The sequence below is a fragment of the Homo sapiens genome, chromosome 16 (genome assembly GCF_000001405.40).
Source record: "Homo sapiens chromosome 16, GRCh38.p14 Primary Assembly".
Classification (NCBI taxonomy): domain Eukaryota; kingdom Metazoa; phylum Chordata; class Mammalia; order Primates; family Hominidae; genus Homo; species Homo sapiens.
The window spans coordinates 77,137,098-77,154,307 of NC_000016.10; the positions used below are offsets into that span (position 1 = coordinate 77,137,098).

At 39.1% G+C, this 17,210-nt stretch overlaps 1 annotated feature.

Annotated features, from left to right (window-relative positions):
- Window positions 16,590–16,759: an enhancer, noted in NCBI's record as "experimental_45133 CRE fragment used in MPRA reporter constructs". NCBI's record gives its function as "activates a minimal promoter by MPRAs in K562 erythroleukemia cells, with activity observed for the introgressed 16:77187669 variant allele {active_cell/tissue: K562}" and the evidence as "EXISTENCE:reporter gene assay evidence [ECO:0000049][PMID:34662402]".

The window sequence follows — 17,210 nt, forward strand, 5'->3', positions numbered from 1 at the left end:
AATGCCCTTTCCATTGTGTTTATTGGAAAACTCCTGGGTAGTCCTCTAGAATAATCTTACTCATCAGCCATCACCCCACCCTCCAATGTTCCTTCTCTATACTAATTCTGTTACATGTGTTCCTATCTGTGGTTTGTCACACACTCTGAAAACATTTTTGTACTTTCTCTTCCGCCTGTGAGCACTTAAGGCCCCTAAGGACAGACATACTGAGGATCTCTATAAATGTTGCATTCATAAACCAATGGCTCCTTCCAGACCCAAATGCACTTTCTTATCTGACAGAGGAATCCAGTTTGATGGTATTGCCACAAATTCATTTGTTATAAAATTTTATGTTTCCTCTTGAGAAGGGAAATGTCTCCTTCCTTGGTACTTTAAGAAAACAAATTCACGTAACAATTATAATAACTGAGATAAAACTGTAGTTTTTCACTGAGCATTTAATTTACCTTGTTTAGATAGAACTGTATATCTATGTTAGATTAGACCTCAGGCATGCCCAACCATTTTTTCACTTAGAATAGTTTTATTTTTATTTTTATGTTTTTGTTTTTCTTCAACTTTGATTTTAAGTTCCGGGGTACATGTGCAGGATGTGCAGGTTTGTTACATAGGTAAACCTGTGCCATGGGAGTTTGCTGCACCTATCAACCCATCACCTAGGTATTAAGCCCAGCATCCATCAGCTATTCTTCCTGATGCTCTCCCTCCAACAGGCCCCAGTGTGTGTTGTTCCCTACCATGTGTCAATATGTTCTCATCATTCAGCTCCCACTTATGAGAAGATGCAGTGTTTGGTTTTCTGTACCTGCATTAGTTTGCTGAGGATAATGGCTTCCAACTCCATCCATGTCCCTGCAAAGGACATGATCTCATTCCTTTTTATGGCTGCATAGTATTCCATGGTGTATATGTACATTTTCTTTATCCAGTCTATCATTGATGGGCATTTGGGTTGCTTCCATGTCTTTGCTATTCCATGTCTTTGCAGTGATGAGCATATGCGTGGGACATGACCAGTGTTTTAAAAGTTCTATTAGGATTCTGAGAAAACTGATGGTTTATATTCTTTTTTTTTTTTTTTTTTTTTTTTTTTTTTTTTTTTTTTGAGACGGAGTCTGCTCTGTCGCCCAGGCTGGAGTGCAGTGGCACCATCTCAGCTCACTGCAAGCTCCGCCTCCCAGGTTCATGCCATCCTCCTGCCTCAGCCTCCCGAGTAGCTGGGACTACAGGCGCCTGCAACCACGCCTGGCTAATTTTTTGTATTTTTAGTAGAGACGGGGTTTCACCATGTTAGCCAGGATGTTCTTGATCTCCTGACCTCGTGATCTACCCACCTTGGCCTCCCAAAGTGCTGGGATTACAGGCGTGAGCCACCGCACCCGGCCATGGTTTGTATTCTTAACGTGACATGAATTAATATTTTTGGTTGGTTAAGTTCTTCCATCTAGGGTCTTGATCAGTCTTTCCTTTTGTCCTGGAATTCTTTTAAGTCATTCTGTTAAGACTTTATGGTTTTCTTTGCTTATACTTTCTGGTTATATTAATTCCCAGGAATTTACATCTTCGTTGCTGTTCTGAATAGGATTTATTTTCTGATTTTTATTTTTAATTTAGTATTGTAAATATAAAAAAGGAGTTTTATATCTTTTGTTCAATACTTTATCCAATTCTCTTAACTTTCATAGTTTAGAGTTTTTACCTTTATAATCATATCAACATGTCTCTTTTCTTCAATAAGTATTGTAAATATTTCACTTTTCGTTTATATTACATTAACTGCTGCTCCAAAAACAAAGATCAAAATAGAGTAATGATAGAATCTAATCTCAGTTTTTAATGGGAATGACTTTCATATCTTACCCTTTAAAATATTGTTTGCTATTTTTAGTAAATAACAGTTGTATGTTTTAGCTTCCTTCTAATCCTACTTTCTTTGTAATATTCACAATAGCTCTACATTGTATTGAATAGCTTTTCAACATCTATTGATATCCTTTGGTTCACTGATATAATCAAATGTGTTGATAAAGTTCCTATTTTTTAAGTCCTTGTGTTACTGTAATTAATCCCATTTCTTCATGTCATATAATTTTATAAATAAATATCTGGATTCAGACATCTGATTATTTATTTGAAATATTTACCTCTATATACTTGGAATTTGTCTAATTTTCTCTTGTGTCGTATCTTCATGATACTTTATACAATGAATTAATGATCTTTCAACTTTCTCTGTGGACTAGAATTTTTTAAATAGCACAGGAATTACATGATGTTTGAATTTAGAGTAAACTCAGCAGTAAAACCATCTGAGCCTGCCACCAAATTTGGCTATGGTTATTGGTCTGTTCAGATTTTCTCTCATATTGGGTCAAATGGGGTATTTTACATTGTGACAACAAGTTAGCCATTTCTCCAAGATTTTCCATTGTCATTGGTTTGTATAAGAAGCTTTAATATAAATCTTTAAGCTCTTCCATATTTGAAGATGACATCTTGTTATTAACATTGTATCCTTGTATATTTATTTTCTCCTCTCTTTCTCTCTCTCACTCACTCTCTCATACATTTGTCACACACACACGTTTCTCTGGGATTTTCTTTTGTATTCTTATCAGAAATAAAATTTGTATTTTGCACAACACAGAACATACAGTATGTTACATAAAATTAAGTAACAGTGTCTTAAGATAAACGTTTATTTTTTTCTCAAGTAAGAGACACGCCAAGGTGTGCAGTCTGAGACAGATATGCCAGTGCCTCAGCATCCTCAGGGATCTAGACTCAATCTCATGCCCTGATTCCCGATGCCTGCCTTCCATCCTTGTGGTCTTTATCATTCAAGATGACTGTTGGAGATCCAGTCGTCAGATCTGTGTTCCTGGCAAGCAGCAGGTAGAAGAAGAGAAAGATCAAAGAATCACCTGGCCAGGTGCAGTGGCTCATGCCTGTAATCCCAACATTTTGGGAGGCCAAGGCAGGCGGATCATGAGGTCAAGAGATTGAGACCATCCTGGCCAACACGGTGAAACCCCATGTCTACTAAAAATACAAAAATTAACTGGGTGTGGTGGCGGGCGCCTGTAGGCCCAGCTACTCAGGAGGCTGAGGCAGGAGAATCACTTGAACCCAGGAGGAGGAGGTTGCAATGAGCCAAGATCGCCCCACTGCACTCCAGCCTGGTGACAGAGCGAGAATCCGTCTAAAAAAAAAAAAAAGAAAAAGAAAAAAAAAGAAAGGCCGGGCGCAGTGGCTCACGCCTGTAATCCCAGCACTTTGGGAGGCCGAGGCGGGTGGATCACGAGGTCAGGAGATCGAGACCAACCTGGGTAACATGGTGAAACCCCGTCTCTACTAAAAATAGAAAAAATTAGCTGGGTGCGGTGGTGGGCGCCTGTAGTCCCAGCTACTCAGGAGGCTGAGGCAGGAGAATGGCGTGAACCTGGGAGGTGGAGCTTGCAGTGAGCTGACATCGCACTATTGCACTCCAGCCTGGGCTACGTACGTAGCGAGACTCCGTCTCAAAAAAAAAAAAAAAATCACCTCACCAACAATTTAGCCCCCATTATTATTCTACTCAGATTTTCTAGACCATACCTTTGTTCCTACGCCATCTTCCAGGACTTAGTCACAGAGCCAGAACATGAGACAATGGGGAACTAGGAATGCAGCTTGAGTAGCTTTCCATTAAAAAAAAAAAAAATCGAAGTTCTATTACTAAATGAGAGGAGGACGTTTACTGGGTAGAAGTTAAAGTGTCTGCTACAACTTCATGCATCCTAGCAAATATTTCTGCTTTTGCTTACACTTTAATTTTTATAGCTTCCAACCTTCATCTCAATTATTTTTTCCTAATATCTAATAGTTTATTTTGATACTGATTTTTAAAGTTCTGAAGCCAAAGAGTTTGTGAATTTTTGTCTTTTTTCAAAATTATACTAAAACATTTGAAAATATAAATTTGAAATCCTGTATTTTATTACCAAATTTGCCACATCTTAACCCATTACCAGTGGGGTAAGCGTTTATGGAGCTGCCCAGAGCCTGCTGGAACTAACAGCATTGGATTTTAGGGTTTATGATCCTTGAACATTTATTTCCTGAGCTTGGTGGTTATTTGACATATTAAATATCTCTTTTCAAGCACATAGTCTCCCTGTATCATAATTCATTTAACCAGTTGCCTTTTGCCAGACATTTAGTGGTCTCTAATTCTTCAAGATTGTAAGTAATGCTATGTTTGCCATCCCTATGATCTATCTTTGTCCATCTGTGTAATTATTTCTGTAGGATTAATTTCTTGAAGTGGAATTGCTGTGTCAAAGGGCATACACATGTAAAATCTAATACCTATAATAAAACTACTTATTAGTTTGTATTTTGCTCCCAAAAGTGTCTTCTAGAAAATACAAAATTTCTTTCTCATATACACTTTTGGGAGAAGTGTACTTGGTAAAGCTGGTTTAGACAGCAATCTGGTAGTATCAGTCAAAACTTAAAATGGTATCGCCACTGATGCAGTAAGTCCTCTTCCAAGAGTCTGTCTTACTGAATTTCTTATATATGTATACAAATATGCACTGTATGTGTTGACTTGGAAATATAACCTAAAGACATTAAAATTAAGTGAAAAAATCACTTTGAAGACATATACTATGATCCATTTTGTGCAAGAAAACTATATGTGCATATATAGCCATATATTAGTTCTTAAATGCAAGATAAAGGAATGAGAAGAACACATATCCAACAATTGCCAGTGGTTACCTCTGAAGATGGGAGTGAGACAGGGCCCAGTTAAGAAAGATTGGAGTAACGGGATAGGTCTGTTTATGTAGATCAGCTTTTGTCTTACATGTATCCACTAAGAATATATTTTCCACTAAGAATATATTTTCATCTTGGTATTGAGGAAGTAAGATACTTATTAATTAAAATTAAATTAGAATATGGTACATACTTTTAAGTTATCTGTATTTCTTTTAATTATTTAATCATATTGTTCAGTTATTTGTATCTTACTGCCTTGACAACACCATCAAGGAGATCTGGGTTCTTTCTTGCTGCTCTGTTAGGATACAGATTGGCTGCTGCAGTAGCAGCTGTTATACGAAGACCAAATGAAATTCAGTGAAAAAAGAGGGGCTACTTTCAAAATGTCTCCTCCAAAGAAATATTAACTAGCAGACCATCCAGGAGACCTCTCCAAATACACACACATATGCATCCTTTCATGGTCATAATTTTCCCATGTTCATTTCTAGACTAGTCCCTGGCAAAAGAAATGGGATGACCAAGAGAGGCCTAATGAAAAATCTGATCATAAGAAGAAAGGTACATACTTGAGCAAAACCAGAAGGCTTTAAAAAAGAAAAAAAAAAATGAGGTAATGGCTATTGTATGAACAACCAGTAAGTTCTGGCAGTGTGGTGAAAGGGATCCCTCCTCCCCATGATAAGTATTCTGCCCTATTGATTTTTTTTAAGTAATTCTAAAATTTAGACCTCAAGGCAAATCTTACAGTGAGTGCCCTTCCCCAGAAACATCAGTTTTCATGGTGTTTCAGTGTGAGTTGTGGTTTAGGGCAATTCATATTGGGTACAAATTTGTGTGGTAAGGGTCTTAAAAGATTTCTTCTGTTCTACATGTACCTACAGATGAAGAAGTTTCCTAGGGAACTTAACAGACTACTATGAATCTGAAAGACTATAACATTTGATAAATCATAAAATAAAGACATCGTTTTCAGAATCTATCTATAGCTTAGAGCCACAGTCCTTTGTTCCCAGAATGGGCACCATCCAAACACCAGAGTTGCCTGGCATTGGAGCTTGGGGTAGGGAAGAAGCGTAGGGAAAGGTAGGCTTCTAGAAATCAGAGAAAGGCTTGATATGGACAGAACTTTGCCTAGATTAAGGAAATCATTCTACTTTCTTCACCAAGTCAGGCCTTATGAGCCTTACAAGTAAGATTTAAACTAAAAGTTTTAATAACTTGCTAAAGGCCAAGTGTGGGAAAGTGTGAGAATATGGAACCCCTGGGAGACTCAGACACAAGGGGAGTTTATACCAATTAATGGTTATTTTCAGTTGACATCACTGGGAACTTAGAAGTCAAATGGGAAACACGGTGATACAGAAGGCATAAAGCTCCACCCAGATCCTTCTCCCCTGTGGAACAAAAGCCTTAGGCTGTTGGGCAAAAGGCAACAAGAACTGTCAACCCCAGAACACAGGCAAAGACCCACTGCAGCCAGAGAAAGGAAAAAGGAAAAAATCCACTATTGTCAGGAAAATGTCAGAAAACCAGAAATTTATGACCTTTGCAGGAGTGGCAGGATCACTGAATGTGCTCCACCAGTGAGACCCAGGGATACAGTAGAAGCCCAAGACTGAGGTTAAAGAAGGAAAACCAGAGAAAACTCTCCAGCCCTGTACCCTCAACCAGGCCAGGGAGTATGAGTCACCAGAAGAAGAGCTGTCTGTCACATGGAGAGGAGCAAGAGTGTGCAGAAAGACCATCTCTGAGGTTTTGGCTCACAGGGAAAGCCTAAGGTTAAGAATTGAACAAGAACATTGAGAAAAATCCTCTGGCTACCCAACTCTACCCTAGGCACAAGGTAAAGCTGGAAGAATTCAAAGATGGTGGCCAACTGAAAGTAACCACAGCAACAACAAAATGCAGACCTAGCTTACCCACTAACTAGATTGCCCCAAAACCCCTTACTAAAAGTGTACTGGAAGAAGAGGTGGGCCCATTTCCCAGCATAGTGTTATTCCATCTCTACTGTCCACATGGTGGCCAGTTTTCTATCCCCCCAAAAAAGTGTGAAAAACACACACAAAAACAGAAGACTAAAAAACAAAACAAACAAACAAACAAACAAAAACTGTCAGGCTGGGCATGATGACTCATGCCTGTAATCCCAGCACTTTGAGAAGCTGAAGAGGGCAGATCACTTGAGGCCAGGAGTTGGAGACCAAACTCGCCAACAAGGTGAAACCCCGTCTCTGGTAAAAATACAAAAATTAGCCGGGCGTGGTGGTGCTCACCTGTAGTCCCAGCTAGTTGGTAGGCTAAGGAAAGAAAATTGCTTGAGCCCAGAGGCAGAGGTTGCAGTGAGCCGAGATCACTTCACTGCACTCCAGCCTGGGTGACAGAGCAAGACCCTGTCTCAAAAAATAAAATAAAATAAAATAAAAAATCTGTTAAAAAAGAAACTAATCAAAAGAAATATATTCAGAGATGACTCAGTTATCCAAACAACCAGGGAATTGGGAAAAATATTACATATATATATATATATATATATATATATATATATATATATATACACACACATGTTTGTTTACATATACATATGTAATTAATTTATTAAAGTCTGTAGTAAAACACTTAATTGGAGAGAGGAAAACCATTAGAACGACCCACATGTCCATACTATGAGATAAAAGTCAGAATAAAGAAAGTTTGAGGAGCCCATCCAAGGACTCAGCACAGCTGAGGAACTAGTTAGCGAAACTAAAAATAAATATCTGAAGCACAAATTGGTAAAATGAAAGTGGAAAAAAAAGTGAATGAAATACCAAAGAGCTTTGGGACAATATCAAAACCCAGAAGAACATTCCATTAGTCCTCTGTTCTTTATTCCATTAGTCCTCTTTCTTCATATCTTTTCACCTCATTGTGTGTTCTTTTTTAACTTAACTATATAATCTTCTGGTTTTTGTTCTACCTTTTATTAATTTTTGTCATTACACTCAAGACTACAATACATACACTGTACTTATTACAGCAGACCTTAACTGATTATTCTATCATAGCCTGAATTATGCTTGAGGCCATTAAAAGTTTAATTCCGTTTTCCCTTGTGGCTTTCTGGTTGTTGTTTTTGTTGTTGTCACTACAAATATTATTCCTATACTTGTTATAAACCTCTCATTGTTTTCTGTTTACTTATTCTAGGGCTATTGATTCCTTCATGCATGCCTCTGTTTTCAGCTGGGGTGGTTTTCCTTTAGCCTGAGGAATTCCCTTTATTATTTCTTATAGAGCAAGCAGATCTCCTGGTGATAAATGCTCATTTTCTAGGCTGAAAATGTCTTTATTTGGTCTTTATTTTTGAGCATTGTTTTTCTGAATTTCACATTCTAAGTTTGTAATGTTTGTTTTTTTTCTTTTTGGCACTTTAAGTATCCCAACCAATTTCTTTCTTTTTTATTTTTTAAAAATATTTTAACTTTCATTTTAGTTTCGGGGGTACATGTGCATGTTTGTTATATAGGTAAACTCATGACTCCGGCGTTTGAGATACAGGTTTTTTCATCACTTAGGTACTAAGGATAGTACCCAGTAGTTTCATTTCCTGAACCTCTCCCTCTTCCCACCCTTCACCCTCAGGTAGGTCCCAGTGTCTGTTGTTCCCCTCCTTCCAACCATGTCCAATCAATTTCTTATTATTTCTATACTTTCAGAATGTTAGCCATTATTTTTACTCCTGTTATCGTGAAAGTAATGTTTGTTATACTGTTAAGAATTTCTCTTTCTGTTTGGACTTCTGTGGTTTGACTATGATGCATATGGGTGTTGCATTTTTTGCAGTTTTTTGTCCTGGTGATAATTGAGGTTCTTGATCTATGGAGTAATGGCTGTCATCAGATTTGGAAAAATCTTGGCTGTTATTTCTTCAGCTATCATTTCTATATTTCTTTCCATTCTTCGTGGTTACCCAATTACATGTATATTAGACCTTCTGACAGTGTCCCATATTTCCTGTTTGCTCATTTTTGTTTCTTTTTGTTATTGTTTTTTATTTGTTCTTCATGTACATTGGCCTTTGAACTTTCCTCAGGTTTCTTAATCCTATCTTCTGTTCTGTCCATTCTACAGTTCAACTCACTCCGTGAGTTCGTTATTTCAAATGCTACATTTTCTTATTATAGAACATTCATTTGATTGTTTTTACAGATCTCAATTCTTCATTTATATATTTCATATTGCATTAATTTTATCCTTTCTTCTCTTTTATTTCATGTAGTATCCAGTTTTCTGAAGCTTTTGCCTACCAGCTGTAGATCATCTCCACATCTGTTTCTATTGACTATTTTATCTATTTTTGTACACTTTTTCTTGCTTCTCGTCATGCATACTAACTTTTTTACTGCATGCTGAGCATTGTGGGTGAGAATCTTTTTATCCTACCTTTCTCCAAAGAGTGTTGACTTTTTTCCTGGGTGGCAGCAAAAGTGCCAACAGATTATTTTGTTCCAGTGAGGCCCACTTTTAGAATGTATGAGGTTGAGTCTATTTCAGCTTTGCCCTAACACATATGTCCTTATTCACATGCCATTGATATTATGGATTCTCAAATTAAATGATGACCTGGTGGTTCACTTACTTTTAAAGTATTAATATTTTTTGAAGGAACAATACTGTTTTTTCATTTCTAGATTCTTATATCTTATTCTTATTAAGTTTGCTGCTCTTTATTTAAGTCAACATAAGACACACATAACTGGTGGTAGCAGAACAACACAGTTTAACTTGACCACTGCCAGGTTATACCAGTTATGCTTTCTCTATAATTCTGTGTAGAACAATATCCAAATCTGCATTTTCTTTTCCAACCATGTAGCCAGCTATCTGGGTGTCATAAAATGAAGCTATATTCTTTTAAAAATCTCAGGATTAAAGAGAAATAAAAGTTTGTTACAAACAAGAACGTACACTCACCTGTTCTATTAATTCCCCATTCACCATTCTGTCTGCATTCACAATGAGATGAACTGAGGTGAATGTTAACAAGGATGAATGTCAAGTTCTGAAGTTGAACTACAAACAACAACTTCCCAGGAATAAAATAAACAACACTTGACTTTAATGAGCATCTCATGTGAGAATAAAGCTCAGTCTGAATTCTAAAGTTAAGGCTTTAAAATTGACACTAAATGTATATTGGTTAGGAGGGTTTAGGGTACCTGAAAATATAAGTGTCTGAAGATGCCCTCAGGCATCCAGGACAGAAAATGTGCCACTGACCTACCTTATAGGAAAGGTCTGGATCTTCCCTATTATTTCTCTTAAGCCTGTATCCAGCGAAAAACATGAGAATGTGAACCCAGATCCTTAGCAGGGCGGCAATGTGTAGATATAAGGAATCATCAATTATAAGCATGAGACCTAGAGCTTCAGGCTTCCCAAGAAATACCTTGAGATAAATTAAATGTCTTAATTCCCCCCTCTGTGTTTTATCTTGCTATTTCTGAAAAGTTTGTATCTAAATCTTGCAATCAATTTTGCTTCTCTGAGGATTCAAAGATGGTAATACCAGCTACCACAGAGCTGCTCAGTAAGCACAATAAATGATGGTTAAAAACAAAACAAAATGTAGAACAAGTTAAAAGAAGACATTGGTGATCTGTTTAGAAGGAAAATCCATTTTACTATATAGGCCTTGCAAATTTTGACAGTTATTTCTGCAGAAGTTCAAGTTAGCCACAATTAGTTAACTTGTGAAATAATGTGAGGGAGAATGGTAGCAATTTTTAACTTATTGGTAATTATCTATTTCAGTTGGGTGAGCACATATTTCCTATCTTAAGTATGCTGGACATCATTCAATGGATCAGATATATGAGGCTTACTCTTTATATATGCTTAATGACATAGGATGATTGATTTCACTAAGATAGGAACCTGATTTGGCTTTTGTCATTCAGAAGTTCCAAACCATGGCAGATAATCCACTTAGAAATGTTAATGAATGTTGATCTTATACACAGTTGAGTAAAGAAATTGTTAAGCATTCAATGCACAGAATAAAGGACATATTTGTGAGGTTTTTTTTTTTTTTTTGGTAGTATCATTCTCTGTTAACACTAATTAACTGCCATCCACATTCCAGACAGTAGACTGTGGACACAATGAGAACAAGGATCAGGAAATACTGTGTAGTGTACAGTACATAGAATGCTGCTTAATTCAACTTGCTTGCATTTTCCTATATGTTATTTTATTTCATCTTCAAAATTTCCCTGTAAGATACTTCTTGTGCTCATTTCATACATGACAAAATTGAGTCTTAGGGCAGTTGACGGGTTTTCTTGACCCAGGTCCCAAAGCTGTGGGCGAATATGCAGTGCTCTCCCTACCTGTGCTGTGCTCATTTTTTTCTGCTGGCTCAGCACGAAGCAGCCATGGGGCCTGGGAAGTGAGAAAGGATCTGGAGTTGCAGCTGAGAAGGAAGGTAGATATATCCACATGCCTCCTGAGAGGCTAAGTGAAAGTTTGTGAAAAACATCGGATTGCAGGAGCTGTGGGAAAGATAGAAAGATGGGAGAGAGTAAACATGGCAGCTATTTGCAGAGTATGCCACTTGGGAAAGATGTGGAGCCAGGAAAGGGGGCTAATTGAAGACACCTGGAGGGAGATGGCGAGAAAGCTAAAATCATCCAGGATGTCTGGGCAAAGAGCCTTGATGCAGAAAGTGGACATCTTGAGAAGCTGCCATGAGGCCTTGTGAAAGAAACCAGACTTGTAGGTGGAAAATGCAACTCCTAAGAGGAAGGTGTGGTTACTAAAATTCCATGGCTATACATTGGTGGCCTGCACCCCAAATCTGGCCTAAGTCTTCCTTTGCCTTAAAAATAATGGAACATGGTGCCTTGGGCAGTGTCTGTATTCTTCAGGGTGCCACTATTCCCTGTTCACCCTGCATACCACCTCCATCTCCCCTTAACCTACCCACAGAGTCATAGCAATTCACACAGATGGGCCTGCTCCACTGATATAGAGCCCCAAAACTTCAGTTCCAAAGGAACAAAAGTTAGACCAGCATGAAACAATTTTCTCTACACTTGGTGGTGGATTTCTTTGGGCCCATCTTTGTTTATAGCAACTCTTTTCAACTTGGCTTATCATTATGCAACTATGGTACCAGCTAGAATCAACTGGCCTTCCAAACCCAGACGCGTTCATCTTTATCCAAATGTAATTTATCTGAAATGCCATGTTGTTTGTGAGCATTATGCATTACTGCATGAGCTTCTGTTTTCTTCTTAAATAATAAAACACCCTAATGGAAAATATTCCCTCTAAATAAATTTTAATGAGCACTTATTTGCCCAAATTGTCCTTTGTCTGAATGGCAGAAAATTAATACGAACTTGAAATTATCAGGAGCATTTTGTCATAATGGGTCTTGGGAATAAATCATGCAAATATGAAATATTTTCCTGTATCTTCCTGAACTGTAAGTGCTGTAGTAACAACTTCCTCCCAAATGCAAAGCGAGTGTCAATGTCTTATCTTTCATCTGTACAGAAAAATATCACATCGGAAATCATGTCAAAGTGTTAGATGTTACTGGAGCTTGAAGTGAACAAGCAAGAAGCCTAATTGTCAGAGAAGGGTGTATATTCCAGACTTTGCCACTACAAATGACAATGCATGTATCTGCTACGTTTTTTAATTCCGTGCATTGACTCGTTTTCCTGGAGAAAGAAAGCAAATGGAAAATATTACCCTGTATCCTGGGCAGACTAGAGAACTTGGGTCTCACTGTGCTCACCAAGAATTAAACGGGCCAGATGGAGAACTGGAGTAAGTGCCTTCCAGAGGAGAGTTTCAGCTGGACCAAGAATTATGAGCCAATGAAGTGGGAAGCCATATTTGAGGGCGCCCCCTTAGACTTCAGAGTGCACTACATTAATTGCTCCTATAGACTTTCTCTCCATCTGAAATACTGCCAAAGGGAGCTATCGCCATTTCTGACTCTTTTTTTTTTTTTTTAAATAATAGAAATGACACTGAGAGGAGCCATTTAGTTCACTTCAAGAAATATGTATTACATACTCTCGGAGTATTAACAAGCAACAGTGAAAGAGAGAGTTTCCATTTTCAAGAAGCTTTTCTCTGGAATGAGGAGCTCACCACTAAGTTAAAAGTACCAGTAAGTATCAGACAATCAGATTCATGTTTTTAAACCAGGAAAGTATCAGCTCAATGAGCACCTCCAGGGGGAAAAGGGCACCAAAGTCCCATAGGAGGCTTCTGGGCATGGCCAGAGAGCATGGGCTCCAGATGCTGATGGCTGCACCACTCGCTGCCTGAGTGGCCTTGACAAAGACGATGAATTTGCTGAAAATGCTACTTCCCTATCAACAAAATGGAAATAATCTTGTAAGGTGATTCAGAGATACACACAGATGGCAGGCATGCAAAAAACCTTCTCTTGACCACCTCTCCTGCAAGCAATCTCCAGTTGCCTCTGCCATCACCTCATCATGAGAGTCCCAGATCCCCCCACTCTCCTGGCAGTTTTGTCCAGGGACAGTTCTGTCCACAGAAATGACCAAATGATTATATCATGGAATCTCAAAGAAAATATGAGAAGTTATTTAGTCCATGTAGAAAGAAGGTGAAGAAAAATATTCAATGTAATTTAAATTGTTTTGTAATTGGCCAGGTGTGGTGGTTCATGCCTGTAACCCCAGCACGTTGAGAGCCCAAGGTGGGCAGATCACCTGAGGTTAGGAGTTCAAGACCATCCTGGCCAACATGGTGAAACCCGGTCTTTACTAAAAGTACAAAAATTAGCCGGGCATGGTGGCATGCACCTGTAATCCCAGCTACTTGGGAGGCTGAGGCAGGAGAATCACTTGAACCCAGGATGCGGAGGCTGCAGTGAGCCAAGATTGTCCCATTGCACTCCAGCATGGGCAACAGAGTGAGACTCCATCTCAAAAAATAAATAAGTAAATACATAAATAAATAATTTTGTAATCAGTAATGGTAACATACCCCTCTTGATTGAGGTATACTAATAATCATTCCTATTTAAACAAAAAACAAAAAAAAATCCTTATAAAGCATTTAAAAGTGGCAAAGCACTTTTATATTTATTTTCTAATTTAATCTTTAGAATGATCTGGTATTATTAGCAGAGTAAAAAGTTCTACCAATTTTAAAGAGGAGGAAACTGAAGCACTAAGGATTTGTCTGGCTTGACCCAATCACATAGAGTTGCTGGAAAAACAGCTCAGGCAAACTCAAATAGTATTTTTTTCATAGCATGTCACACTTCCTGAATAAATTTCTCTAAAAGAGGACCAGACTGAAGTTTTATTCCATACCAATATGCCTGCTCCATAGCTCAACGTGAATGTCATTTATGTAACTCAAGCTACGTCCCAAACTTTATTCGTGAACTCTCCTCACACTGCCACTCCTTCAAGTTTCCTGTCTTCATGTACGTACAACCAGTCATCCAGGTGTTCACACCTGTAGTCTTGGGGTCACCCCTGACACCTCATCTTCCCCCACTCAATGGTGTCTATCACCCATCTCAGTGGACTTCACCTTTTAAATATCTTCTGAATCTGACCCCATAGTCCTAGACTAGCCACCACTATCTCTTCCTTCTTATTGCAGTGGCACCCAAGATTGCAATCTTGCCATCTCTAATCTGATCCTCCAGAGAACCATCAGTTATCTTTGTAACACACAAAGGTAGGTCCATTCCTTTCCTACCTAAGTCTTTCCTCCCCAGTCCTCTCAGACACATCAAATCTTTCTGGGTCTCATCCATTCTCATTTTTCCTCTCCTTACACCACCTGCCCAGGGCCCTTTCAATCCCAGCCTGCTAAATCTCATCCCACCTCGGGCTTTCCATAAGACACTCTGGATTGCATGTTCTTGCCGCCCACGACACCCGCTTACCTCCTACTCACCTTTACGTCTTTTTCTGAAAGCTCTCTCTTCCTAATGCCTTTTTCTCAACTCCTTTTTACTCCATGTGGTAGGAAGAATAATGGCCTCCCCAAAGATGTCTACCTCCTAATCCCTGAAATCTGTGGACAGCAAAAGAGGCTTTGAAGAGGTGATTAAATTAAGGATCTTGAGATGGGAAGGTTATTGTCGATTAGCCAGTTGGCCCAATATAATCACAGGGGTCCTTATCAAGGAGAGAAGACAGGAGAGTCAGAAGATTTTTTAAATTTAATGTTTTGTTTCCATAGGTTTTTGGGGAACAGGTGGTATTTGGTTACACGTGTAAGTTCTTTAGTGGTGATTTTTGAGATTTTGGTGCACCCATCACCCGAGCAGTATACATTGAACCCAATTTGTCAACTTTTATCCCTCACCCACTTCCCACTATATTCCCCCAAGTCCCCAAAGTCCACTGAATCATTCTTATGCCTTTGCATCCTCATAGCTTAGCTCCCACTTATGAGTGAGAACATACAATGCTTGGTTTTCCATTCCTGAGTTCCTTCACTTAGAATAATAGTCTCCAATCCAGGTTACTGTGAATGCAGTATTAATTCATTCCTTTTAATGGCTGAGTAGTATTCCATCAGAAGGGGATGTAAGGATGGAAGCAGATGTTGTGATGGATTGCAGGCTGAGAGCCAGGGACTGAAGAATGCAGACAGCCCCCAGAAGCTGGAAGAGACAAGGAAATGGGATCTCCCTTAGAGCCTCCAGGAGGAATACAGCCCTGCCAACAGCTCAATTTTAGCCCCTTAAGATGAGTTTTGGACTTCTTGCTCCGAGAACTGTAAGATGATAAATATGTTTTGTCTTCAGCCACCAGTTGTATGGTAACTGGTTGCAGCAGCAACAGGAAACTATTATACTTCTCAACTCTTATGCCCTAGGCTCTTCAAGGCCCTTTGTCTCATGCTTGTACAGGACTCTGTGCTTCTCTTAACTATGCATAGATCTCTTGCAAATACTTACTTGGAATATTGTTTTAATATCTGTTCTTCTGTTCAGAGAGTGTAGCACTCCTCGCATATTATAGTTTGGCCCCTCTGAATCCCCAGCTTCTAGCGTAGGACCTGGTCCACAAAGGAATTCACAGATGCAATGAAAATATTCACAAAGCATTGTTGTGGCAGGAGAAGCCACCTTGCATTTGTAGAATGATCATAACAAGTGGGCTAAGACTACAGAGAAAGAGGCAGCTTCCAGGTGTTGTTGAAGATATGGAGAAGGACCATCTTCCAGGGCTAGCTCAAAACCCTTCTAAGTTAGCAAGGGGTACTCGCTGCTTGCAGAGTCTGCAATGAGTTTCTGAGTTTGTACAACAACAAAATGAAAGGTCAGTTGCCTCCAAAGGACAGAAGATACCCAGGGACCTGAGGCTCTGAGTCTCTTTCCTCTGAAAGGGAATCCTTCACCAGGCAGAAGGAAATGTGTGGCACTATTTGGTTGCTACTGCTCTGGAATACAGAGATATGGGAAACAGTGTCTCACTGTGGGAAAAGGGGAGGATTTTTGAGTGCCTGACATTACATATGTGACTCCCAAGTGGTAAAACACGCATATAACTCAAACCAGCTTATGTACAACATATCAAGCCATCTCTCTATGAGGATTGAGGAGGAGCTAGTGTGGTGCTTGAATTAATCCATTATGAAGTTAGATATATCTGGCTTCCAATTCTGGCTCTTCCTGTTATAATTAAGAAACTAAAGTCAAATCTCTAAATCTCTCGTTTTCTTCATCTACAAAATGAATTTGTAGTGCCTACCTCATATTGTGCTGAGGATAACAGAAGAACATGCAGATTAGATGCTTAGTGCACATCACACGTTCAATAAATGGGAGGAATTCTTATTCTGTTTTGAGGAAGAGAAGGACAAGAATGCTCACTGAGTGTTCTTTGTTTTTTTGTTTGTTTTCGAGACGGAGTCTCACTTTGTCGCCAGGCTGGAGCACAGTGGTGCAATCTCAGCCTCCCAGGTTCAAGCAATTCTCCTGCCTCAGCCTCCCAAGTAGCTGGGACTACAGGCATGCGCCACCACACCCAGCTAATTTTAGTATTTTTCATAGAGACAGAGTTTCACCATGTTGGCCAGGATGGTCTTGATCTCTTGACTTCATGATCGGCTCACCTTGGCCTCCCAAAGTGCTGGGATTACAGGCATGAGCCACCGCGCCTGGCCCACTGAGTGTTTTAATAAGCCACACACTTCCTCAGGGGCATTCACAATTAGAATCTCAATGTATTTGTGCTGCAATCCAGTGAGGTAGACGTCATCATTCCAACAAAGCAGGTGAGAAATCTGGCCCATGAAGTGGGTGTGATCTGCCCAGATCCACAGAGTGTACATGGTAGAATGTTTGATCATTCTAAGCCAGAGTGGCCTCACTGAAGGTGGACTTGTTCTTTTACTGTGGGAAAGAATAATCAATA